Genomic DNA, 26651 nt, shown 5'->3' with positions numbered 1-26651 from the left:
GATACTGTACTAATATAGTCACCAAATGGCATCATTCATAAATCATAGCACATAGTTTATGTAAATTTAATAGTGGTAATCTCAGATTATAAAGTACATGTAAAAAATACTTTTTGTACTCAATTCTGAAAATAACTTTTAGAGAGATTTCAATGCAAACTGTAGTAGAACCCAAAAATAACAGACATGTCTCATAACAGTCCAAATTTGGATATAATCATAGCCTGGTGTATACCACTCAACCCTCTTTTAAATATCTGTTGTAATTCTTTGAGTTTTGCTTCTGTAGATGGTGGTTCTTCTACCAGAAATGTTACAGGCAGGGAAGAAAAAAATCCATATCCAGAATATGTGTCTATAACAGTGAGGATGAATATCTTCTCATTCCTTGATGAAATAAGTCTAATGTAATGTAATTGCCATGAGGCTGCTGGTTTTTACATCCAAGCAGTGGTGACAAATTTAGGGCTCAGTGTTCCCCTCAACTATTGGAAAATTAGACACTCAGCGTTATAATTAGCCAGGCCACTCTTGGTTAAAAGAAAATACAGGTATACAGATATGCCTCATTTTATTGTGCTTTACTTTATTGTGCTTTGCAGATATTGCTTCTTTCTTTTTTCACAAGTTGAAGGTTTGTGGCAACCTGCATCAATCACATACGTAGCTGCTATTTTTCAAACAACATATGCTCACTTCATGTCTCTGTATCACCTTATAGTATTTCTCAAAATATTTCAAACTGTTTTTTTTTTTTTGTTATTCATTAAGGTAATCTTTGATCAGTGATATATATATTTTTGAGACAAGGTCTCCTTCTGTGTCCCAGGCTGGAGTGCAGTGGTGCAATCGCGATCACATTCACAGGTCACTGCATGTGGCCTTGAAGTCCTGGGCTCCAGTAGTCCTCCCACCTCAGCCACCTGAGTAGCTGAGAATACAAGCACACGCTACCATATCTGGCCAATTTTTAATTATTTTGGTGGAGATGGGGTCTCACCACATTGCCTAGACACGTGGTGATCCACTGTGACCTTTGATGTTAACTGTTGTAATTCTTTTGGAGTTCTACAAACCACACCCATATAACCTGGGAAACTTAATAAATGTTCTGTGTGTTCTGTCTGCTCCACCAACCCACTGTTTGCCCATGTCTCTCCTTCTTCTGGGACCTCACTATTTCATGAGACATGAGAATACTGAAATTAAGCCAGTTAATAAATCTACAATGACCTCTATGTGTTAAAGAGAAAGGAAGTGTCCCACATCTGTCACTTTAAGTTAAAAACTAGAAATAATTAAGTTTAGTGAGGGTGAGGAAGGTATGTTGAAAGCCAAAATAGGTTGAAAGCTAGGCCACTTATCTCAAACAATTAGCCAAGATGTAGAATGCAAAAGAAAAGTTCTTGAAGAAAATTAAAAGTGTTATTCCAGTGAGCACACAGATAATAAAAAAAATACAACAGTCTTATTGCTAATAGGAAGAAAGTTTTAGTTGTCTAGATAGAAGATCAAACCAGCCACAACATTTCTGTAAACTAAATCCTAATTCAGAGCAAGGCCCTAATCCTCTCTTCAATTCTGTGAAGCTGACAGAGGTCAGAAGGGTGTAAAAGAAAAGCCTGAAGCTAGAAGAGATTGGTTCATGAGATTTTACGCACCATGACATAAAAGTGCAAGGTGAAGCAGCAAGCAATGATGTAGAAGCTACAGCAAGTTATCCAGAAGATCTAGCTAATATCATTGCTGAAGATGGCTATACTAAACAACAGATTTTCAACATAGATGATACAGCCCTAAATTGGAAAAAGATACCTTCTAGGGCTTTCATAGCTAGAGAGGATAAGTCAATGTTTGGCTTCAGTACTTCAAAGACAAGTTAACTCTGTCTTTGGGAGCTAATGCAACTGGTGATTTTAGTAAGGCCAGTGCTTATTTGCCATTCTGAAAATCCTAGGGTCCTTAAGAATTACGTTAAACCTTTATAAATGGAAGAGCAAAACCTGGATGACAGTACATCTGTTTACAGCATGGTAAAATGAATATTTTAAGGACACTGTTGAGACCTACTGTTCAGAAAAAAAAAATTTTTTAAATATTACTGCCAATTGGCAATGTACCCAGTTGCCCAAGAGCTCTGATGGAGATGTTCATTCAAGGAGATTAATGTTGCTTTCATGCTTGTTAGCACAATGTAAATTTGGTAGCCCATGGAACAAGAAATAATTTCAAATTTCAATTTCAAGTCTTATTATTTAAGAAATACATTTCATAAGACTATAGCTGCCATAGACAGTGATTTCTCTAATGAATCTGGGCAAAATCAACTGAGAACTTTCTGGAAAAGATTCACTGTTCTACATGCCTGTAAGAATATTCATGATCCATGGAAGGAGGTCAAAAAATCAACATCATCAGGAGTTTGGAAGAAGTTGGTTTCAACCTCACAGATGACTTTTACGAGCTCAAAACTTTAGTGGACAAGTGACTGCAGATATGGTAAAAATAGCAAGAGAACTAGAATTAGAAGTGGGACCTGAAGATGGGACTGATAAAATTTCAGTGGAAGAGAAGGTGTTTCTTATGGATGAGCAAAGAAAGTGATTTCTTGAGATGGAATCTACACCTGGTGAAGATGTTGTGAACATTGCTGAAATTATAGCAAAATATCTGAACTATTACAAAACTGAGTTACACATACTTAGTTGACAAAGTTTATTACATAACCTTGGCAGGCCTTCAAGAAGACTGACCTTAGTTTTGAAAGAAGTTTTACCTTCAGCAAAATGCTATCATACAGCATCACATGCTACAGAGCAATATTTTGTGAAAAGAAGTCAGTAGATATAGCAAACTTCATATCCACCTTATTTTAAACAATAACTACAGCCACCGCATCCTTCAGCAACCACCACCCTGATCAGTCAGCAGTCATGCACATTGAAGCAAAACTCCCCACCAACAAAAAGATTATGACTTATTGAAGGCTGTAGAGGTTGCTAGCATGTTTTAGCAATAAAGTATTTTTATTTTTATTGAGACAGGATCTTTCTCTGTTTTGCAGGCTGGAGTGCAGTGGTACAAAAACAGCTCACTGCAGCCTTGACCTCCTGGCCTCAAGAGATCCGCCCACGTCAGCTTCCTGAGTAGCTGGGACCACAGGCATGTGGTCTTGATCTCCTGGGCTCAAGCAATTCCTCTGCCTCAGCCTCCAGAAATGTTTGGATTACAGATGTGAACCACTGCACCTAGTCTTAAGGTATTTTTAACTAAGGTATGTACATTGTGTTTTTAGACAAAACACCTTTGCACACTTAATAGACTACAGTATACTCTAAACATAAGTTTTATGTGTTCTGGGAAACCAAAAAAATTGTGTGTCATGCTTTATTGTGAAATTCACTTTATTGTGGTCCTTCAGAATCAAACTTGCAGTGTCTCTTAGGCACGCCTATACGTTGTTTTGAGCCCATAAATAGCTTATATTTCTGCCAGCATGGCTACTTTGTTCACAGATTTATTTTCCAAGCAATAGGGTGGCTGGGGAAAAGCCTTTTGATACTCACAGAGTGTGTCATTTTTGTCCTTCTGATTATGAACAGCCTACTCTACAGGGAATACTTTTTGTAGACATTCACATGGAAATCAAATTTCTTCAGTCTGTGCCAATTCTGAAAGGTCCATCCATACCTCTTCCACAAATTTCTTGATCACCAGTCCTTAACTTCTGCTATTTTCCAAGTCTCTGACCATCCAGCCAACCAATTAATAACTCCCCATGAATTAGTGCAGATTCGCGCTTCTGAATATCTCTGACACCAAACAAAGTGAGCAATCAAATGTCAATGTACTGCTTGAAGTTTTGTCTGTTTAGAATATTTTATATCACACTTGTTCAGAATTACTTCTGAGTGGGTCTATGACACCTTACCTATACATTTTTGACTAATATGTGCATGTCACATAGAGCTATCTCTAAGCCAGGATTGAGCTTTTTCTTCCTTAGTCAATGGGTATTAGGGAACACGCAAACCATAAAAGCCTCTGGACACATAGATTGAGGAAGAGGAGGAAATGCCAAAGATTTGATATCAAAAGGGTCCAAATTACCTTCTTGTTTATATTAAGTGTACCATCTGGACATGCCTGATCTACTGCTTAGTCATAGATTCTCTTATTTTTGCTGTCCACTAGTTTAATATAATATTTCAGTTTAGCTGAAAGACACTTTAATTATCATTTGAATCTTCTGGATTGTAAGACCCAAATGGTAGAGTGGTTTGAAGTGTGGTCTGAACTTATTTCTGAGTCTCTTGTTGCTCTTGTCCTTACTTGAAACTGATGATTGTTTATGTGACTCTGTGTTGATCTAAGTATCATATTCAAATGTGGTATATGTTGTTTCCAAAATCCAAATGTTTGCATGTTTTTATGGTAGGTGCTATAAAGAGAAGAAGTTTAACATTTACAGTGTAAGGTATATATTCAGAAGCTCTAGATCACTAAACCTTCAGATGGGGGACAATGATGTGAGGTTGCGGAACACTTCACTGAGATGGTGGTATCCTAAATTTTTGTATGATTTATTATGCACTCTCAAATCTGCATGTCTTAGTGAACAATTTACAATACTTGTTACTTCCTGCTCATCAAAAATCAATCGGTGTAATATGGTTAATGTAGAGCACCTGTATGATGTTTTATGGAATGACAAAATCAAGACCACTGTTGACTATATTATGGCATAGAACAAGAGAATTGACACAGTCAAGGGGCAAGACTTTGAAAGTCTGTTCTTGGTCTCACCAGATAAAAACAAATTGCTTTCAATAGTCCTTGAACAATGGTATAGGAGGAAAAGGCATTAACTATGTGAACAGCTACACACTAAATTCTAGGAGCCATCTTGATTTGTTCCAGTAAGGATGCTATATCTGGAAGAGTAGTTGCAATTGAAGTCATTGTCAGATTAAATACTGAATAGCTCACAGTCATTCTGTGAGATCTGAAAGATTAAATTGGTGAGTTAAATGGAGGATAGGGTAGTCATCTGTCCCAGGTGATGTTACCACAGATATTCAAACAAAGGAAACAAATCAGACACAATTGACAAAGAAATCTGTTACCTCTGTGGCACACAATTATTTAATGTAACAATTATAATGATTACTGATAATGTAACTAAGATATATCAGAATTATAGAAGTTGTCCATAATTTTAGAACATATACTAATAATATATTTATACAACTGTAACCCAAAGAAAGCCAAACCCCCCCATTTTATTATTATTTTTTGTCAGGGGCAGGATCTCACTCTGTTGCCCAGTCTGGAGTACAGTGGCATGATCTCAGCTCACTACAACCTCTGCCTCCTGGGTTCAAGTGATTCTCCTGCCTCAGCCTCCTGAGTAGCTGGGGTTACAGGTGCGCACCACTACTGCCCGGCTAATTTTTGTATTTTTAGTAGAGACGGGGTTTCACCATGTTGGCAAGGCTGGTCTTGAACTCCTGACCTCATGGTCTGCCCTCCTCAGTCTCCCAAAGTGCGGGAATTACAGGTGTGAGCCACCATGCCCAGCCAAACCCAGTTTTATATTTGACAGTGTTTCTTGTATGACTTTTGTACCAAATAAGCCAAATTTCATCTTTATATTAGTGTACTATTGATGTTAAACCTAATTCTTAATAAAGCCTTATAGACATATTTATCCAATTTTAATGTTTGACCATAACTTACGATTGTCATAAACCTTTATACCTTTATAATTTTTGTTGAAGAGCAGATTAGTGCTGTAAGAGAAACCTGTTGTGCTTTTATTTCAATGTTTAATTTACAGAAAAACTGAATAATACCCCTTTAACTTTAGCCAATATGTTTACACACAGAATTTTCTTTACAATCAATCTTCCACAACTTGCTTAAACCTTCAGCTTTATTCTTTGTAACTTAAAATAATCCTTATAGCTTTTAACTTAGGCAAAAAAAAATTAAAAAAAAACACATTCCCATGCCTTCTTATAATCTTTTAACCAAAAGTATATTCTACTTTCCTTACACACTTTGCATGTAAAACTGTTTCTTCAGTAGTCTCAAATACATATTACACTGTCAACTCTTGGTAACTTTTACTTTTGGTAAAAACCTTAATAAGTTTGGGATTTAAATTATGTAAAATTAAGGAGTGCAGATAAGGTCTGACTTTTTTCAGCATCTAAGTTCACAGGTCCCAGGTCTTACTTAGCTGTAAATAGGCAAGTTGTACAATTAAGAGTTGGAGTAGCATTTTATGAAGCATTTAGGAGGCCTAATCACTTTTAAGCTGTACAGCATTTCTTGCATAAATTCCCCTTTAGTAATTATTTCACAACTTAAACAATCTGACATGCTTTGACTTTCTGACTTGTCCTAAACATTCCCTCTTTTTAAACAACAAGTTATTTTACTTTAGGACAAGAATTTACCATATAAGATCGTTGCCTATATAAAATCTTTCTGTAAGCTTTTTTTTTAAACCAAAAATACCTCTTTATTTTTATAACTTTATATCCCTCTTATTTCCTCGTTCCTTTTACCTTGTTTTATATATAACCTTTAAATCAGCTTCGAATTAGACAAAAATCAATTACCCTTTAAAAAGGACACAATTTTTAGAAAGGATGTTTTTCTTCAATATATTTTTATTGGAAAATACCTAAATAATAAAATATCTATTGTTTAATATAACTTTAGATTCTAAATTATGACAAGCTTGTTTGTATTTATCCCATTACATTTACCTAATTATTTATTTTAATTATTTATCTAGATAATTTATTAAAAAGGTGATAGTTTTTATTTAAAGTGATGAAACCACCATTGCAAAATTATAACCGAGAGAGTGAAAAAGATCTGAACTTGCTTCTAACCTCCAAGCTATTCTTGTTCATTAATTTAGTTTATAGTGTAGCTTTGAAACAAAGATGGTAACAGTCCTTTCTCAGAACAAACTTTTTTCATGCCTATGGACTGGATTGCCTCAAGCCACATGATTACAATTTATAGTATTTTACTAACGAATTCAAGATGTAGCTATTTTCATTAAACCAATATTAATATTTTATTCATTAAAAGTTACATAAGCAAAGATTATTCTGTTTTGGGCTGAGTTTATAGTTTTGTAGCCTCTATGCCAAATTTTGATACTTTATAGTATTTGGTTGGGATAAGTATGAAATTGCTTAATCAATAAATGCAAACAAAAAAATGTATGCTTATAATTCTTAAGACATTTCTAATATTACTTTACCAATAATTTTAAAGCTAGCTAATTTATTAAATATTTTACTTAAGTCACGTAAACTTGGAAAAGCATTTGACCAGTCTTTTCTTTTTTCTGCTAAAGTATTTGATTTAAGTGCTTTTATTTTCTTTAAGCCAATTAATTAGAGCTCTTTTTATTTTTTCAGTAGTGAGATACTGTGTACACGACACATAATACACAGCTGTATTAGGCATGCCAATAGAAGTACATTTTATAGATTCATAAAACGTCATTTTTTTCTTAGACTTGCAAACTCTTGATAAGCTGGTTTCTTACCCTGGAAATTGTCATCTAAATATGCTTAAATCTGCATATTGAAGGCAACCACTCTTAGGTGAAAAATCAGATAGCAAAATTTACATCTCAAGGTACACAGATAAAAAGTCTGGTGGTGCTAGAGGTAGATTAAAGATGGATGCTAGATCAAACATATTATTACAGAAATCTGTCACAGCATTTTATAAGATACCTGCACTGAATTCTGTTTTGCTTAAAAGGGAGAATTATTATAAGGCTAAACCATGTGATGCTTTTACAGTGTACTTAAAACATTTTTGCCAAACAAGACATTTCTAAGTACGTAAACTGGAATTTTTCTTAAAACCCCCGGGGCAACTTCTGTTTCAACAGCTATTAATGAAGAAAATGGAATTCAGTAAACTGAGAAGAAAAATATTTTTGCTCCAAAACACAAAGTCCTGGGAGAGAAATAAACAAAAACAAGACATGAAGGCCTTTTAAATACAAACACACACATACATGCACACATACACATCTTAAATGTTAGCTTTTAATTAAGCTGACTTTTAACCATTGAGCTCCTAAAACAATCTTTTTTCCTTCCCAGAGGTCTCTCAGCAGAAATGGACCCAATACTTCTCATTTTCAAGTTTACACAGTATCAAAAGGGACAAGACAGATAACACAAACAAGTGGAGACGGATTTCAGACAAACACAAGGGGGAGTGCACTCAGGCAGAACAGACTGAAAAGCAACTCAAAACCTGACCTTAACTGAAATGCAAAGCAGGTGTATGAGCCAGCCCTATTGCTACCCTGGCAGTACCACACGAATGGCTTAATGAGCCCAGAGAGGGAAACAATAGGCTCCCGGCATAGGATTCAGTTAACTCACACTTCAAGTGCACCTGCTTCTGATCTCCTTTCTTCCCAGTAGTGAAAGGGACATGTAATTTTGCACATGGGACAGCCCTTGGGAGGGTCCCTGGGAAAATCTCACCCAGCAGCTACTGGATTCTCCTGAAGATTGTCTAGTGGCAAGCTGCTGGCCACTGAATGCAGCACTATCCTATTCTCTCCTGGCTGGCTCGCCAACTTTTGTTCCCCTACCAAACTGAAGGTCGGGCTGTTTCTCGTGGTCCAGTAACAAGATGCAGATGAACTGGAGAGGAAGAGAGTTTTTATTTCTGTAACCAGTTACAGGGACAAGGCCTGGAAATAATCTCCAGACCAGCTCAAAATTACAACGTTTTCCAGAGCTTATTATACCTTCTAAGCTATATGCCTGCATTTAAGTGTGTCTTCATCTAAAGACATAAGTGATTAACTTCCTTAAATCTATAACTAAGGTCAGCGTCCTGAAGGCCTTCCTCTGGAGCCTCAGTAAATTTACTTAATCTAAATGGGTCTAGGTGCTGGGTTGATTACCCTTATCTTGTCTCCTGATAAATCATGGAGTTTTGAGGAGTTCCTTCAGACCCCCAATAAACTTGTTTGTAGAGGCCTGGGGAGTCTCTTCAAACCCCCAATAAAACTTGTTTAATCCTAAACAGTTCTTGTTAAAAATTCCTTCATTATTTTGTCATGCTTTAAGGTCCAGGAAAGGCCTAGGCAAAACTCTTCGTGGACTTTTGTTACATTCTAGCCTTTGTATAAGGGCATTGGCTCTTAAATAGCTTTTAGAATTTAACCACTCAGCACTCAAACAGTTGTTATGAGATCCGGCCTGCCACAGGATCACTCCTGGTACCGATTTAGGACCTAACTATGGGCCAATCAGGATTCATAAACTGCAGAGCAATTTGAATGAGGAAAGATTATTATAAAAAGTTGTTAACAAAATAGGGGATCATAGTAATGGTATATTAGCAACCAAGGGGAAAGAAGACTCTGAAAAATTGAGGGATATCAGTTATAAAGAGAATCACTACCCTTAGGGATAAAGCAGAGCACAAATTTAAGAAGGAAATCTGAAAGAGTACTCCTCATCTCTAGAACTTCTGAGAACGTACACTGCTATGATCCACTAAGCAGTGGAGCCATTTTGAGTTATCACACTGGTAGACATCTTTAGGAATTCATCCCTTTGGTGGTTCAGGAAGGCCAACCACATAAAAATTCTGTGCTGTGAAAGTAGCTAGGAGTCTGTCCTCTGGAGTGCAAAACAAAGCCATCAGTTGGGAGATGCTGTATCTGGAGTCCAAAAGAAACCAATGGAGTGCTGGGAGGAGTTTTTTGTGGAAAAATTTATATACATACATGAGGCTTACTGGGAATCACCTATCACAAGTAGTACACTTGGAAGATTCTCTCTGGGAATTTGAGGGTTTGAGGAAATGTTGCCCTTGGAAATGTTCCATGCACTAATGGCTGCTACTTGCTGCAGGAGCCTTTCAAGAGGAAATAGTAAGCAGTTTTCAGGCCAGGCACAGTGGCTCATGCCTGTAATTCCAGAACTTTGGGAGGTTGAGGTGGGCAGATCACTTGAGGCCAGGAGCTCGAGATCAGCCTGGCCAACATAGTGAAACCCCATTTGTAGTAAAAGAACAAGAATTAGCCGGGCATCGTGGCATGCACTATAATCCCAGCTATTCAGGAGGCTGAGGCATAAGAGTTGCTCGAGCTGGGGAGACAGAGGTTGCAGTGAGCTGAGATCACGCCACTGCAACCCATTCCAGCCTGGGTGGCAGGCTGAGACACGCACACACACACACACACACACACACACACACACGCGCGCGCGCAAAAGAAGTTTGTATACCTTTAATGCCCTCTACTTAAAAAGCTTAAAATTATGCCACCTGGCAAATAAGAAATTTTTCAGTATCACAAGCAGAACAATGAAAGGCACATTTGAAGCTGAGAGCCTATGGATTGATAATTTACACATTAGGCATTACAAGAAACAGGACCAAATGCGTCAAAATCAAGAGAAAAATGACATAAACTAATGAATGACAATACAAATTTTTCACTGGCAGACTAGAAATTTATAATTACTACAAATAAGAAAATGTTAGAACCGATAAAAAATCAAATAGCTATTCTAAAACTAAAAATATGGTAATTAAATTAATTTCATGAAATTTTTTAAAATATAAAAATACAAAAATTAGGAATTCAGTAGACTGTGTTAATATTTAAAAATCCCCTGAAAGTAGGCCAGTAAATATATCTTAAATGAAACACAAAAAAGGAAAAAAAGAAGAGAAAAATTCAGTAAAGCCTATAAGACATGACATGGTGAGAAGATTAACATGTATTTAATAGAAGTTCCCCAAAGGAGAAAAGAGGGTTATTGGAAAGAAAACAAACACATATTTGAAGACATCCTCTTTCAGCCATAGAGTTATGAAGCTTGCTGAGTCTTGAACAAGATTATTAGGAAGAAAGTACAGAAGGTTATGTCATAATCAGACTTTGAATACAAAAGATAATAAGAAAAGATTTAAAGCAGTCAGAAAAATGGGATACTGTATAAGAGTAAGATAAAGATGAAAATATGAACACTCAAATGAAAAAATGTGAGCTAGAAAGTAATGAAATAACATTTTAAATGATAGAAAATAACTGCCAGTATGTGTCACAATGCCTCATAGAATTATTCTTCAAACCTAAAATTAAATTAAAAAAATTTAAACAACACATTAGGAAGCAAACAAATAAAACTGTGAGAACTTGTTCCCATTAGACTTTCAATAAAAACATTGCTAAAAGAAATGAAAACACAGTAATATGGGATAAATTAACATAATATTGGTTAAACTAATGCATACTGACAAATTAAAAGTATCAATAAAATATTTAGTTTAATATATATGTGAAATTAATATTTCCATTATTTCTGACCATAATTGTTTAGCTGATGTTGGATTCACTTTCCTGCTGTAAAAATTTATAAAATCTAGTCAAAATATATAGCACAGTTCTTTGCAGCCATTGAACCACAATCAATAGTGGCCTATAATCCTTGAATTCACCATAAATTGAACCCAACAATCACCTTAGTCTTCTCTCTGAGGAATTTTTTTCAAGTTGCTTCATGAAGTTGAGCCTATGTAGAGAGCAACCATCTTTCTGGGTAGAGAAAATAATGACTGGAATTAGGGCTACCAGGAAGCTGGGACTTTAGGGACAGGGTGTTAGAAATAGGGTGCCCATGAGGAATCTCCCTATTCTCGAGTTCTTGACCAACTCACAATCAGCACATATACAAAGAAAGTCAGAGAGGCCTAGCAGAGCATAACTTTTAGGATCAGAGAGCACAGACAAGCACAGACTTTTCTAAAAAACAGAAAAACTAGCAAAGCTTGGACTTTTAGTTGAGATCTACAATATTGCAATGCTCTAACAGAAAGGCTGCAACTAAAATTAACCCATCTGCCAGGCATGAATCCAAATTACCCAAGAACTGCTTAACAAAACAAACAAAGGAAACTGCTTAACAAAATTTAAAACTCTTTAGAGAGATTTAACAACATCCAAAGCCATTACAACATAGCATACACAATATACACTTCCATTAAAAAAATTAGGCATATAATAGAGCAGGAAACCTTATAGTAGTAAAAAAAAATAGAAATACACTGAGATATTAACCCAATATTAAATATAGCAAAAGAAACATTAAAAATAGCTATGATTTTTTCATTTTAAAGATGCTGGGGGGAAAGATATATACCATTTATAAAAAGTAAAGTAATTTAGAACCTATAAAAAGTGAAATTCCCCTCCAGCAAAGCGATATATCTAAAATTAAATACTCTTATTGGAGAGATGAATATAGATGTATTTTTTAATACCAGAAATAAGTACAAATCCTAAATAAAGATAAATATATTTTATTAGATTATAATTAAACCTGCTAACAAAATATTAGGTGACTAAAACTCACTGTTAAACCCTGTATGAGAGTACATAAATAAACTATATATTTAAGACAAAATTACCATTCAAAACATAAATAAAGCCTTCTGTTAATCGATAAGAAGAATTATTTTTTAGAAAAATAGACAAATCAGGTGAATAGGAAAGACAAAATGAGAATTTATATTAAATTCACAAGCTGCTCAACTTTGTTAGTAATCTAAGACATGCAAGTCAAAACAATTATAATTTAACAAAAAAATTTGTAAAAAATCAAGAAGTCTGACAATATGTAGTGTTATTGAAAATGAGAGCAAATAAAAAGTATTTTACACTTTGATACAAATATAAATTCATACAATGATTTTATAAGCTCTATCTCAAAAACGAAAGATATTTTGATGAAGTCATAGAGACTGGTTAGTGCTGTTTATATATAACACTCAACAATTCCATCTCATAAATATTCACAAGGAGACATCTAAGGGATTTAATGGAACTGTGTCAAAGGGAAAAAATGAAAATAGCATAGTTATCTAATAGCAGGTGAATGAATAAGAAAATATAATACATTCATCCAAAGAAATATTGTTCATCAGTTAAAATTAATATACAAGATCTACCTGTTTAAAAGGGGTAGATTCTAAATATATTTCTTAACAAAAAAGATGTTACAGGATTTATAAAATATATATATTTTTTCAAAATAAGAAATTAACATACACACTGCTTATGTGTATATGTATATTTATCATATTATCATGTATATAACATATCCAAATATATGTTGACACACACATACATACAGACTCTTACATATAGTTAGAGTAAAAGTAAAAAATCATGGACATAATATGATGCCTTAATTTTAGAATGGTAATATCTCCTCAGAGATGGAGAGTTGGTGAGTCTGGTGATGGGCAGGGCAAGAATGGTTGTGGACTTCAATTTTATCTGTAATATCTTTTATATTTTTTAATAAGGGTGGGGGGTCTATAGTTTTTTGTTATGCCATTCACAGAAATATTCCAGATAGTTGAACTATTTTATGTTTCAAAAAAGAAAATAAAGCTCAAATGATGAAAGGTCACAAAATCAATATATTACAGATATATAAAAATTTAATTTTTTTCCTAACGATCTCACTTTATTTGAAACACAAGTTAGATGGGGCAGCACATGCTGAAGAGAAAGTAATCTTATAATTTTTTTTTTTTTTTTTTGAAGACAGAGTTTCGCTCTTGTTGCCTGGGCTGGAGTGCAATGGCGCAATCTTGGCTGACTGCACCCTCTGCTCCTGGTTTCAAATGATTCTCCTGCCTCAACCTCCCGAGTAGCTGGGATTACAGGCATGCGCCACCGTGCCCAGCTAATTTTGTATTTTTAGTAGAGATGGGGTTTCTCCATGTTGGTCAGGCTAGTCTCGAACTCCTGATCTCAGGTGACGTGCCTGCATCGGCCTCCCAAAGTGCTGGGATTACCGGCATGAGCCACTGCGCCCGGCGGTGATCTTATAATGTTTAAGGCTTTGGAGTATATCCTTTGAGGCTGTTTCCTTTATACTTACATGTATATGATTATAACCCTTATAATTTTGCCTTGGTCTCTCTGCCAGCCCCTTCAATGAAATGTCTCAACTTCTTCCCCCAGGAAATTCTTTTATTCTTTGCATGAGAATACAGTGCAGGCCCTTGGTCTCTGTGCTTTGCAAACTCTGTTTGCACTAAGCCTGGTGAAGAAGAACAGATTTCCCGCAGTCCAGGTTTTCCCAGATACAGTGTTGAGGAGTGAGCTCTAGTTTCTTTAGGGAAGGCAGGGAAATAGGGCAGATGGTACTAGTGGGATCTGAGGCCCATTTCCTTAAGAGTTGCTCACCATAATTCTTAGAAAGAATTTTATTTCTTTCTAAAGAAAATCCTATCTAGTATTATTTAAATGAATCATATTTCTTCTGTTAACAAGAGCTACACTGCATTTCATTTAAAAAACAGTCTTCAGAATTTTGAAATAAGGAATACTTGCTTATATTAAAGGAGCAGTTCCTTAACTGACACTGTTTGATTTATTTGGAATGGGTGGTAATAGACTCAAATGGGCTTTCTTGAATTTGTCCATTCATAAAAACCAGTATGTCTCAGTTTCCCCCACCACCACAATTTAAGAGAACACGTAGAATCTCAGAATGTGATAGACAGAAGTAGAACAGTCTGGATTTAGAATATTTTAATGATTGGTAAATTGTTCTCCAGGACTCAGAGTGCCACTAAGACAGTTTAATAGAATATCATAATTATGTCATAAAGGAATTTTTTTGGTGGGCTGTGTTTGCTTTTCTATCATGTGGAGCAACCACCAGCATAAAAGTTTCTATATAAATTAGCTGAGTAAACAATAAATCTTATGATGTAGATATTCTAGTAGCTTGAATAATGACAAATGCTTTCATAATTACCTTAGGAGAATTGACGATGCTATTTAGCATATACAGTTTTAAGAAGATGAGATTAGATGCTGGTATTTACCTTCATACAGGTAGAGTTAGGTGATAAACCCAAGAATGCAGCAGTACCATACATATAAAACTCCTTTCTGAACAAATTAACTTCCTGTTCCATTTTATAAAATAGTAAACAACTATAATTATTGTATTATAGATTATCTTTTGAATGTAAGTAGATGTGAACTCACCAGTAGTCTACAAAATATTTCTTTGAGGTTTAAGCAAGAAATACGTTATAAAATTGCCTGTGTCTCTCAGGAGAGATAGTCTTCTTTGATTCAGTCTCTGAAATTGTTAATATAAATAGAATATAGCAAAATATGACTCAAAAGGCATTGAAATTGTTTACAAATGACTTGAGATGTAATTTCGATTTTTCTGATTGTTGTCTAAAGATGTGGAAGGAAGAAATTGCCATGCAAAGTTGGAAATAAGAACCTATTTATTTTTTGCTCAGCAATGGAGAGTTGTGCTGAGATATTACACAATATCTCTGAACAAAGAACATTACTTATCTTTTATATGTAGGATTTGGGAAACATTTTATCAGAAATTGGTAGGTTTTCACTAGCAGGAATGTTTAGGCATTGGATGACCTTTAGCCTCGGTTACAGGATTGTGGCTGCCACAGTCAGAACTGTGGGACAGTCAATCATTGGTTATTACAATTCTCAATAGCTGATTGGGAGGGTTTTTAAATCACTTTTGGAGGTTTGCTCTCATTAAGACCAAATATTAATTCATATTTCTGTTGGAGAGTTGAAATGTTTTATTCTCAAACACAACAAAAAATACACATTTGTATAATTAGAAATGCAAACTTTCCATCTCCCGTGTCTAATACACTAATTGAAAATTACAGTAGAGAACAAGAAATTTCAGGTTAGTTGTGGAGAAACGAGGATAGTAAACACAACTTCTGTGTGGGAGCCACATAAATAACCCAGTTTCAATCATCTCTATATAGTCCATCCATGCTATAAATTAATTGTAAGTATTTTACGTTATTTCAAAGAGACCAAATTTAAGTTGCCACATTTTTTACAGAGAATAAAAAAGGTTGCACAGTAATTTTAATGATTTAGCAGTAATAAACAGCCCATCATTGTGTTTTTCTGCTTCCATGAAAATATATTATTCTTTGATATGGTTTGGCCATATCCCCACCAAATCTCAACTTGAATTGTATCTCCCAGCATTCCCACATGTTGTGGGAATTACCCAGGGGGAGGTAATTGAATCATGGGGGCTGGTCTTCCCTGTGCTATTCTCCTGATAGTGAATAAGTCTTACAAGATCTAATAGATTTATCAGGGGTTTTGGCTTTTGCTTCCTTCTCATTTTCTCTTGCCATCGCCATGTAAGAAGTGCCTTTCACCTCCCACCATGTTTCTGAGGCCTCCCCCGTCATGTAGCACTGTACCTTCAATTAAACTTCTTTTTCTTCCTGGTCTCGGCTATGTCTTTATCAGCAGCATGAAAATGGGCTAATACAATAAATTGGTACCAGTAGAGTGTGGCGTTGCTGAAAAGATACCCAAAAATGTGGAAGTGACTTTGGAACTGGGTAACAGGCAGAGGTTGGAACAGTTTGAAGGGCTCAGAAGAAGGCAGGAAAATGTGGGAAAGTTTGGAATTTTCTACAGACTTGTGGAATGGCTTTGCCCAAAATGCTGATAGCCATATGGACAATAAAATCCAGGCTGAGGTGGTCTCAGACGGAGATGAGGAACTTGTTCCCAACTCCAGTTCCCAAACTGGCGCAAAGGTGACTCTTGTTATGTGTTAGCAAAGAGACTGGTGGCATTTTGCCCCTGCCCTAGAGATCTGTAGAACTTTGAACTTGAGATAGATGATTTAGGGTATCTGGCAAAAGAAATTTCTAAGCAGCAAAGCATTCAAGAGGTGACTTGGGTACTTTTAAAGACATTCAGTTTCAAAAGGGAAACAGAGCATAAAAGTTCAGAAAATTTGCAGTCTGGCTATGTGATAGAAAAGAAAAACCCATTTTCTGGGAAGAAATTAAAGCCAGCTGCAGAAATTTGCATAAGTAGCAAGGAGCCTAATGTTAATCTCCAAGACCACGGAGAAAATGTCTCCAGGCCATGTCAGGGACCTCCATGGCCCAGGAGCCCCATTGCAGGCCTGGAGGCCCAGGAGGAAAAAGTGGTTTAGTGGGCTGGGCCCAGGGTCCCCATGCTGTTTGCAGCCTAGGGACTTGGTGCCCTGTGTCCCAGCTGCTCCAGCCATGGCTGAAAGAGGCCAATGTACAGCTCAAGCTGTGGCTTCACAGGGTGGAAGCCCCAAGCCTTGGCAGCTTTCATGTGATGTTGAGGCTGCGGGTGCATAGAAGTCAAGAATTGGGGTTTGTTAACCTCCACGTAGATTTCAGAAAATGTATGGAAATGCCTGGATGCCCAGGCAAAAGTTTGCTTTAGGAGTGGGGGCCTTATGGAGAACCTCTGCTAGGGCTGTGCAGAAGGGAAACGTGGGGCTGGAGCCCCCACAGAGAGTCCCTAGTAGGGTGCTGCCTAGTGGAGCTGTGAGAAGAGGGCTATTATCCTCCAGACTCCAGAATAGTAGATCCACCAAAAGTTTGAATCATGCACCTGGAAAAACTGCAGACACTCAATGTCAGCCCATGAAAGCAGCCAGCGGGGAGGCTGTATCCTGGAAAGCCACAGGGGCAGAGCTGCCCAAGACCATGGGAACTTACCTGTTGTATCAGCAAAACCTGGATTTGAGAGCTGGAGTTAAGGGAGATCATTTTGGAGCTTTAAAGTGTGACTACTCCTCTGGATTTTGGACCTGCATGGTCCCTGTAACCCCTTTGTTTTGGCCATTGTCTCCCGTTTGGAATAGCTGTACCCAATGCCTATACATCCATTGTGTCTAAGAAGTAACTAGCTTGCTTTTGATTTTCCAGGCTGATAGGCAGAAGTGACTTGCCTTGTCTCAGATGAGACTTTGGACTGTGGACTTTGGGGTTAATGCTGAAGTGAGTTAAGACTTTGTGGGACTATTGGGAAGACATGGTTGGTTTTGAAATATGAGGACATGAGATTTGGAGGGGCCAGGGGCGTAATGATATGATTTGGCTGTGTTCTGACCAAATCTCAACTTTAGTTGTATCTCCCAGAATTCTCACATGTTGTGGGAGGGATCCAGGGGGAGGTAATTGAATCATGGGGGGGACTGGTCTTTCCCCTGCCATTATCATGATAGTGAATAAGTCTCAGAAGATCTGATGGGTTGATCAGGGGTTTCTGCTTTTGCTTTCTTCTCATTTTCTCTTGCTACCACCATGTAAGAAGTGCCTTTCACCTGCCACCATGATTCTGAGGCCTCCCCAGCCATGTAGAACTGTAAGTCCAATTAAACCTCTTTTTGGGCCCAGTCTCGGCAATGTCTTTATCAGGAGCATGAAAACGGACTAATACAATCTTCTAATCTCTCTCAAGTCCAATAGTATAAAAGAAGTAAAAAACAAAAAAACAAAAACCCCACATTTAGAAATTTAGGTTTCTCTATGGTGAATAAAAGACGTATTCAAATTCAAAGTTTATGTAATATTTTACCAAGAGGCTAAACATTTGTTTTCCTGTAGAGATCCTTGTTTTAATCTAATGAATATGAATATAGGAAATTAGGTATCTCCTATCCATTAATTTTCAAAATTTAACTGCTGTGCTAAAGAGAGTTGAAGGATGTTATATCCGAAATAGGGAAAGAAACTAAATTGTATTGAACCCCTGCTATTTTCACAGGTTTTGTTCTATGTAATTGGTTTGTTTTCATGTTATTACATTTTAATTTTCACGGTGGCTGTCTTATTTATTTTACCAAAAAATTCACGTGTAAATACATAAATAATCTGTATTGTTAGACATTTTCTAGATGAACACCTGCGACTCAGATTCTATCAATTTCTTTAGTCAAAAAATAAACTGGGGGATCTCGGATTCAAATCCAGTTCTGTCTCCCATCTAATCCTGGGGGAGCTCTATGCAAAAATGAAATTAAATCCATTTCCTCTATCCATCTTCATTGAAAAATCAACCTTTTTCTTGCTCAATTATTCTATACTGTCAATATCAAGAATGTTTAACCATGGAGCTTTTAATATCTGTTATATATCTGCTCTATGATTTTGTGGGAGAAGCACACGGATTTGCCAAGTAGGTTATGTTGAATGTGACTCAATTATACTCTTCAGCAAATATTATTTATGGAGTTTCCCCTTGCCCTGCAAATTGAGTCATATACCACACACACTAAAGTGCTTGCCCTGGAGGAACACAAGTAGGGCAGCTTTAATAGTCTACTTTGTTTTTTAAAGTGTCGGCATTCAGCTTCTTGGGAGGTACATGATAGAACAATGCTTCCCCATTTTCAGTAAACGATGCCACATTTCTTGTTGTTTTCCAATTTTCTGGCTCTCTGTAGTGCTCCATGACTTTCCAGCTACAATTGTGACTGTTCTGGGAAGTTCATTAGTCAATTCCCTCAACACCGAAGGATCCATTTTCTTTGGTCCTGCTGGTTTATGTATGTTCACATTTTTCAAAAAGTATTCCCTGATGAGTTCTCGTCAGTAGTTATTTTTTCATTTCTTTCCAATTCTGTAAACTTCATTTTCTTTGCCAGCCTTGCTTTCATAGATTCTTATACTGTCTCCAGTTTTTATTTTCTTCTTATTTCCTGTGAAACATGGACTTTAAAAAATTAGCTAATTTTCTCATCTCTTCAGAAAAACTGCTCATTTTTATATTTAATATTTTGCCGCTGGAATCTGTGATTTCTAGGATTACTTTGAATTCTATTATTGTAAGTGCCCCCTTGCCATTATCATAGATTCTACCCTATTTAATCCCTATAACTTTATACTTTTTTACTAGTTGAGCACATTGGCATTTACGCTTTGCTCATTAGCACATGCATAATCCAGCTCACAACTTTTTATTTTATTTTATTTTATTATTATTTTTTTTGAGACGGAGTCTCACACCGTCGTCTGGGCTGCAGTGCAATGGCACAATCTCAGCTCATTTCAACTTCCGACTCCTGGGTTCACGTGATTCTCCTGCCTCAGCCTCTCGAGTAGTTGGGATTACAGGTCACACCACCACACTCGGCTAATTTTTTGTATTTTTAGTAGAGATGGGGTTTCACTATGTTGGTCAGACTGGTCTCGAACTCCTGACCCCGTGATCTGCCTGCCTCGGCCTCCCAAAGTGCTGGGATTAGAGGCGTGAGCCACCTCACTCGGCCACAACTTTTACATTTCCGTTAAATGCTAAATTGCTTGATAGAATAGCATCCACAGATAGAAAAAAAGACCTATGTGGTATACAGGGTATGTGTGCACGTGTGTAATTAACATGGAGAGATATAAATTATGAAGACTTTATATTACCTAGCACATGTCCAATAATCAGATGCCTAAGCTTACAGTTCATGAATAATAGCCCTAGATATTAAGTACAGTATATTTTGGCTTTTCTACTAGGACTTTTTCACATACACTCTGCTTTGCAAATGGAGAAGGGATACTGGTAGTGAGAGAACTAACTGAATCAAAGATATGCATGGCTTCTCTGGAGGTGTATTTCTGACTTCATATATTGACAGTTATCCTTGCATTTTAAAAATTATTTTTTGAGAGCCAGCCAAAGCTATTTCTGACTGTGATTCACACAAGAATTGGACATCCCTTTTAGGTTCCAGAGAAGTTTATAGCCGTCTTTATAACATTGAATTTCTTCCCACGATCCTACTTAGCTCTCATTTAATCTGTAGCTTCTTTGTTCTTTCACTTAAAGTGCTATAATATTTGCATTTGAAAATCAAGAACAATATTCTTTCTGGGTTTCTTTTTATGTGCTTTGTCAATCTTAATGGGTCAAAGTCTTTGCTAGGACACTGAATACATGGCAGAATGAGAGCTCACAATGGAATAAGCCACACATATATTTTATAGTATATACTCAAATAGGATATTATGGGAAACAGCTTGTAGACAGAGACTATTATTGGTACCCAATGACTGAGAGTTTACAGTACAGTCCACTGGGTTAGCTGTAATTGGCTGAGTATAAGATTACAATCAAAGTACAGGGAAATTATATACTGGTACTGTACCATCCTTTAGTGGCATGTGTACGTATATATGCGTTTAATCATACCAATTCTCTCTCTCTGTGTATCTCTATCTGTATATACATGTAAAACATTGATAAACATACTTTAACATTATTTTGGAACTACTTTAGAGACAAATAGGTTTATATGCATACACAAAATATGAAGAATTGTTAAATGCAGTATGCATATCTTTGTTCAGAAATTCAACTAACACTTATTGGGTGCCTAACCTGTATCATTTGAGTCACATATATTAACTCTCTTAATTATGGTTACATAGAAAATGTGGTCATATCAGCAGGAAACATAGTAAGACAAAATGGAACAAAAAAGAATACAAGCATTTCCCCTGTGTGAGTTTTCAAATAACAAAAGGCTTTTGGGATATTGATAGTGTTATTAGCAGAAAGGTAAAGGAAGCATTTACCACTACTCAGAAAAAAAAAAAAAAATACACAGTTTAAGAAAAAGAGACTGCATCAGTTCTTAAAGTCCCAAATCACAAATCTGAGTTCTGAAATAAGAGAGAGATAGAATATTGAGAAGAGTATTGACAGATATAATATAAGATAATGTTCAAGAGTTAAAGGACAATTGAAGTCCCCAGACAGTATTGAAAAAGGCCACCTCTAGATGTATCATTTTGAAAACCAAAACATCTAGAACTTAAACCAGCAAGCAAGCAAATGAAAAAGTTACCAAAAATCAAACAAACAAAACAAATGAAATAACTCAACTGAAATACAATCTATAAGAGAAAAAGAATCCGGCCAGTATAAACACATTACCTGCAACATCAGATGCTAGAAGTCAGTAGATTAATCCCCTCACAGTACTATAGAAAACCATTATATAACATTCAATTCTATACCCACTCAAAATTTTCACTCACATAGGAGGGTATAATTAATATATGTTAAGATGTGCAACAACTCTAGATATTCCATACAAATTTTTAAAGAAATCATTTCTGCTTAGGATTCTCCAAGACAGAATTTACTAAGTATCAATCACATTCTCAATTTAAAGTTCATCATAATCATGTATATTGTTATTTTACGTATTTTATTGTTGATTTTTATTACACTTTAACCCTAAGCTCATTTCTCTATACATTGAATATTTAAATACAGTCAGTCTTATGTTTCAATTGTATCCCTTTCTTGGAATGCTTGTGTTACTTTGTACGTGTGTATGTGTGCATAAAACGTGATTAATGATGAATTATCTGTGCCATTATTTAGTGAAGCGACTTTCCCATTTATATAGGTGATATAATGCTGTTTATTTTAGTCTTCTCTTTAATCTTTTGATGCAAAAGATTGGATATTTTTCTATGATGATAAATGGAGACATGGATTTTTAAAATAATTTTATTTTGATTTAATATATGGCATAAAACAGGTATAAAACTAGAAAAAAAATTAATTTTTTGACTAAGGCAATATTGTGAATCTATAAGGGAAAGAATAGCCTTTTCAATAACTAATGCTTTATTAATTGGTTATTTATATGTATACAAATAACCTCCACTTGACACTATAGTAAAAAATAAATTCAATATAGATGGTAGACTAAATGTGAATGGTAAGACAATAAAACTTTTAGAAGAAACAGTGAGTAATACTTTAAGGAGATTTGGGAAGGCAAAGATTATTTAAACAAAATACAAATAACACCAATAATTAAAAATGATAAAATTAGTTAAAATTCAGAAATCCTATTAAAGACACCATTAACCGGGTAAAAAAGGCAAAACATGGACTTGAAAATAATTGTTATGGATAAAATTGGATCTTCCCAAAATTCGTGAATTGAAGTCTTAAACTCTATATGACTGTACTTGGAAACAGGGTCTTTGAAGGGAAAATTAAGATTAAATGTGGTCATCAGGGTTGAGCCCCAATATGATAGAACTGGTATCCATGTAGAAAGTAGGACAGCAAGAGTGTGCTTGCACAGATAAAATACTGTGTGAGCACCTAGTGAGAAGGTGACAACTGTAAGCCAGGAAGAAAGGAACAAGGCGTCCCTGCACCTTGACCTTAGACTTCAAGCCTCCAGCACCATGAGAAAATAAATTTCTGTTGTTTAAGCCACCAAGTCTGTGGTTTTCTGTTACGGCAGTGCAAGCAGAACAATACAATATTTAGACTACAATTATCTAACAAAAGACCTATATTCAGAATGTAGAAGTCCTCTTATAAGTCAAAAAGTAAAAGGTCAGCAACCTCATTTAAAATAAGCAAAAAACAGAGAGTATACAAATAATCAATAGACGCTTAGAATATCTACCTATAAGGAAAATTCAAATTAAAACACAAATGTAACACTTTACATCTACTAGAATGGCTAAAATTAAAAAGTCTGCCAATACCAGGTATAGCTGAAACTGGAACAACTGGAAGTTTCGTACACAGCTGGTGGGATTATTTGCATAAAAGTTTGATAATATCTATTACAGTAAGCTAAAGATATAAGTAATTTATAATCTACCAATCATACTCCCAGGAATATCCCTACATCTACAAAAGAACATGTACAAGAATGTTCCTAACAGCATTATTTATGATAGGGAAACACTACAAAGAACCTAAAATTTCATCAGAGTGAGTGGATACATTCTGCAATTTAAAAACAATGAAATAGGCCAAGTACAGTAGCTCAGGCCCGTAATCCCAGAGCTTTGGGAGATTGAGGTAGGAGGATTGTTTCAGCCCAGGAGCTCAAGCCTGTATGCCACTGCACTCCAGGCTGAGCAACGGAAAAAGACCCTGACTCTAAAAGATAAAATAAACAAACTAATAAATAAATAAAAACAGTGGAATAATACTTACAGATAAAAAGAACAAACTATAGTTATATGTAGCAACATAGATATATGTTATGGCCATAATAATGAGTAAAAGTAGCTAGATGCATAATGATCATAGTACAAGATTTTATTCTTGGAAATTCAAGACAGGCAAAGCTAGTCTAAGGCGATAAGAGGATACTGAGGGATATTATCGAATGAGAAGGGCTATGAGGGGTGTTGCATATGCTTTAAACTTTGACATGGGTGGTGACTACTCATAAGTCTTATATAAATTGTGTAAATAATATGTGCATGTGTGTAAGACTGGTTAATTTTATTATTGACTTCTGTACAGTATTTTATAGTTTGCACACACATGGACGCACACACACATGCACACACACGCACATAATTACACTATTTAAATATCCCTGGGCATCTAGATTGTTGCTTTTGTATTTTTATTTGTATGTGCTATTTTTGTATTTTCTTTTGGATATTTTGACTGAAGTGTCATGTACTCCAAAAATGTATAGAAAGAAAGGACAAAAGTTTAGAAAAAAACCACGATATAGTAAAGAGAAAATAAAGTAAAATCAATACAAAAGGAAATATAATCTTAATATAGTCTTTGTCTGTATAGTAAACCGTATGTTCATATTCACAGTAATGTAAAGCATTTGTTAATTTTCAACATTAAAATTAGCCTATGAATAAAATATAGAAGGCTTAAATTAATTACAGAATAGAATATGCATGTTATGTATCTTAATATGAAGATAAAATTAAAAATCCGGTGTATGGGCAGTAGATGGGCTAGAAAGAGAGGAAGAAGGAAGTGTCTTCAATCTGATAGGGAGCCTTCAAGAGAAATTGTCTATATTTCATGAAACTATAAATAAGATTTTATGTATACTGCACAAAGTTACAAAAGCACTTGTTATAATCATTCAGTGTTGCAAGAAACCAATTGAGGAGAAGTTGGTAATCATGTGACTGAGCCAAATTCCCATTTGCTATAGCAGGAGTGAATTGCATAATATCTAAAATTAATTAGTCAATGATATTAGTAAAATATAATTTAGACATATGGAGGAATTTGCCAGAATAATTTAGAACAGAGAAAATTAAAAGAGTTAAAATTTAATTCCTCTTTGGAGAGGACTGCAAATGTAGTTCTAAAAAAGTTTGTTTTCATTGTGACCTCTTCTGTGTTATTTAATATTTTTAATAATGCACATATTTTTGTTATTAAAAAGCTTTTTATGTAGTTGCTTGCCAACCATTTTTGCACATAAATAGCATAACTGGTAAAACATATTTGGTAGGCAGTTTAATAATAACTTTTCCAGTTAGAACAAAGATACTCTTTGACCCAGTAATTCCTCTAATAGAAATTCATCATACAGATATTTTTTGTATGAGAGTACAAAGATATAAGTGGGAATATTCCCTACAGTGTTGTTGTAAAGGACATAAATATCCTTCAGTAGAAACTGGCTAAGTTTCTTTGGTATAGCCATTCATTGGTGTATTAGTCCATTCTCATGCTGCTATAAGGACATATCTGAGACTGGGTAATTTATAAAGGGAATAAGTTTAATTGACTCACAGCTCTGCAGGAGTTGGGGAGGCCTCAGGAAACTTATAATTATGGTGGAAGGGGAGGCGAACTTGTCCTTCACAAGGGGGCAGGAGAGAGAAGAATGAGAGCTGAGTGAAGGGGAAAAACCCTTATAAAACCATCAGATCTTATCAGAACTTACTATCATCAGAACAGCATGGTGGAAACCACCCCCATGATTCAATTATCTCCACCCGTTCCCTCCCATGACACGTGGGGATTATGGGAACTGCAATTCAAAATGAGATTTGGGTGGGGACACAGGCAAACCATATCAATTTGTCTATTTAGTTTTATTGTAATCTCTGCACTATTTTGGAGTATCTAAAGATATATTGTTTAATATGTTAAGTGAGAAATGATGCAGAACATTATCATGTTATATTATTATACTTTGGTCTAATGTACACAAAATAGGTTTATTTTGAATATATATGTATATGTATATATGTATATAAATATGTATGTATATTTATACACAGCACATACATGCCAAAGCATTTTTTGGAAAAACTGTAAAGTACTTGTTAACTGTATTTCAGGGAATGACACTGTGTCAAGGGTGGCAAGTTAGGGAAATTTTTATTTTGGAGAGATTTATTCCCTTCTATACTACTCTAATTATAATCCTGAAAATGAGTTCTGTTTCTAATTAAACACTACTTTTTAAAAAATTTAAAAATGAGGTGCTCACCTTTGTATCTTTTGACTTATGTAACTGAGTTTCTTTTATGAGGTAGGTGCTTTATATTGGCCAATTATATAAATTCCAGATTATTCGTGCTAGCAGAGAGAAAGACTCACCTCTATCACATGACCCAAATGGAGTCTCTTACATCTAGGCTGAAGAACTGAGCAGTGATTTGATGTCTAAAACATCCTCTCACCCAAGTAGCAGTTAACCAACATTAAGTGTCCTAAGAACTAATTGAAAGGATGGCCAACGTGCTTGTTAGAGATCATGTGTCTGTGAATTTCATTGTAATTATGCTGAATGAGGCTATTACCTCCCTATGTCCACAGTGTCATATTATTGGCCAAGGCTGGTATAGTTCTGCTCAATTTGAATCAAGATTACTGTTTTCTAGGCAGAAGTTTTATTAAGATTAGAAACATAATGCAAAAGGACATACAGGGAGAACAGAGGTGTTCTTTTTTTTCTCCACAACTTTTTTGT

At 35.5% G+C, this 26651-nt stretch overlaps 1 long non-coding RNA gene across 1 annotated transcript in view, besides 1 other annotated feature; it reads right to left on the bottom strand.

The window, feature by feature from the left end:
• NRXN1-DT (NRXN1 divergent transcript) overlaps positions 1–26651 on the bottom strand; it is a 1375317-nt gene that overhangs the window by 134895 nt on the left and 1213771 nt on the right. The gene's annotated exons all lie outside the window — the stretch shown is intronic.
• Positions 19004–19562: an enhancer, noted in NCBI's record as "OCT4-NANOG hESC enhancer chr2:52480599-52481157 (GRCh37/hg19 assembly coordinates)". NCBI's record gives its function as "activates a minimal SCP1, AML or CMV promoter by ChIP-STARR-seq in naive H9 embryonic stem cells {active_cell/tissue: H9 hESC(naive)}" and the evidence as "EXISTENCE:reporter gene assay evidence [ECO:0000049][PMID:30033119]".

Source organism: Homo sapiens, chromosome 2 (assembly GCF_000001405.40).
Source record: "Homo sapiens chromosome 2, GRCh38.p14 Primary Assembly".
Classification (NCBI taxonomy): Eukaryota; Metazoa; Chordata; class Mammalia; order Primates; family Hominidae; genus Homo; species Homo sapiens.
This window is presented reverse-complemented; position numbering and strand designations above follow the sequence as displayed.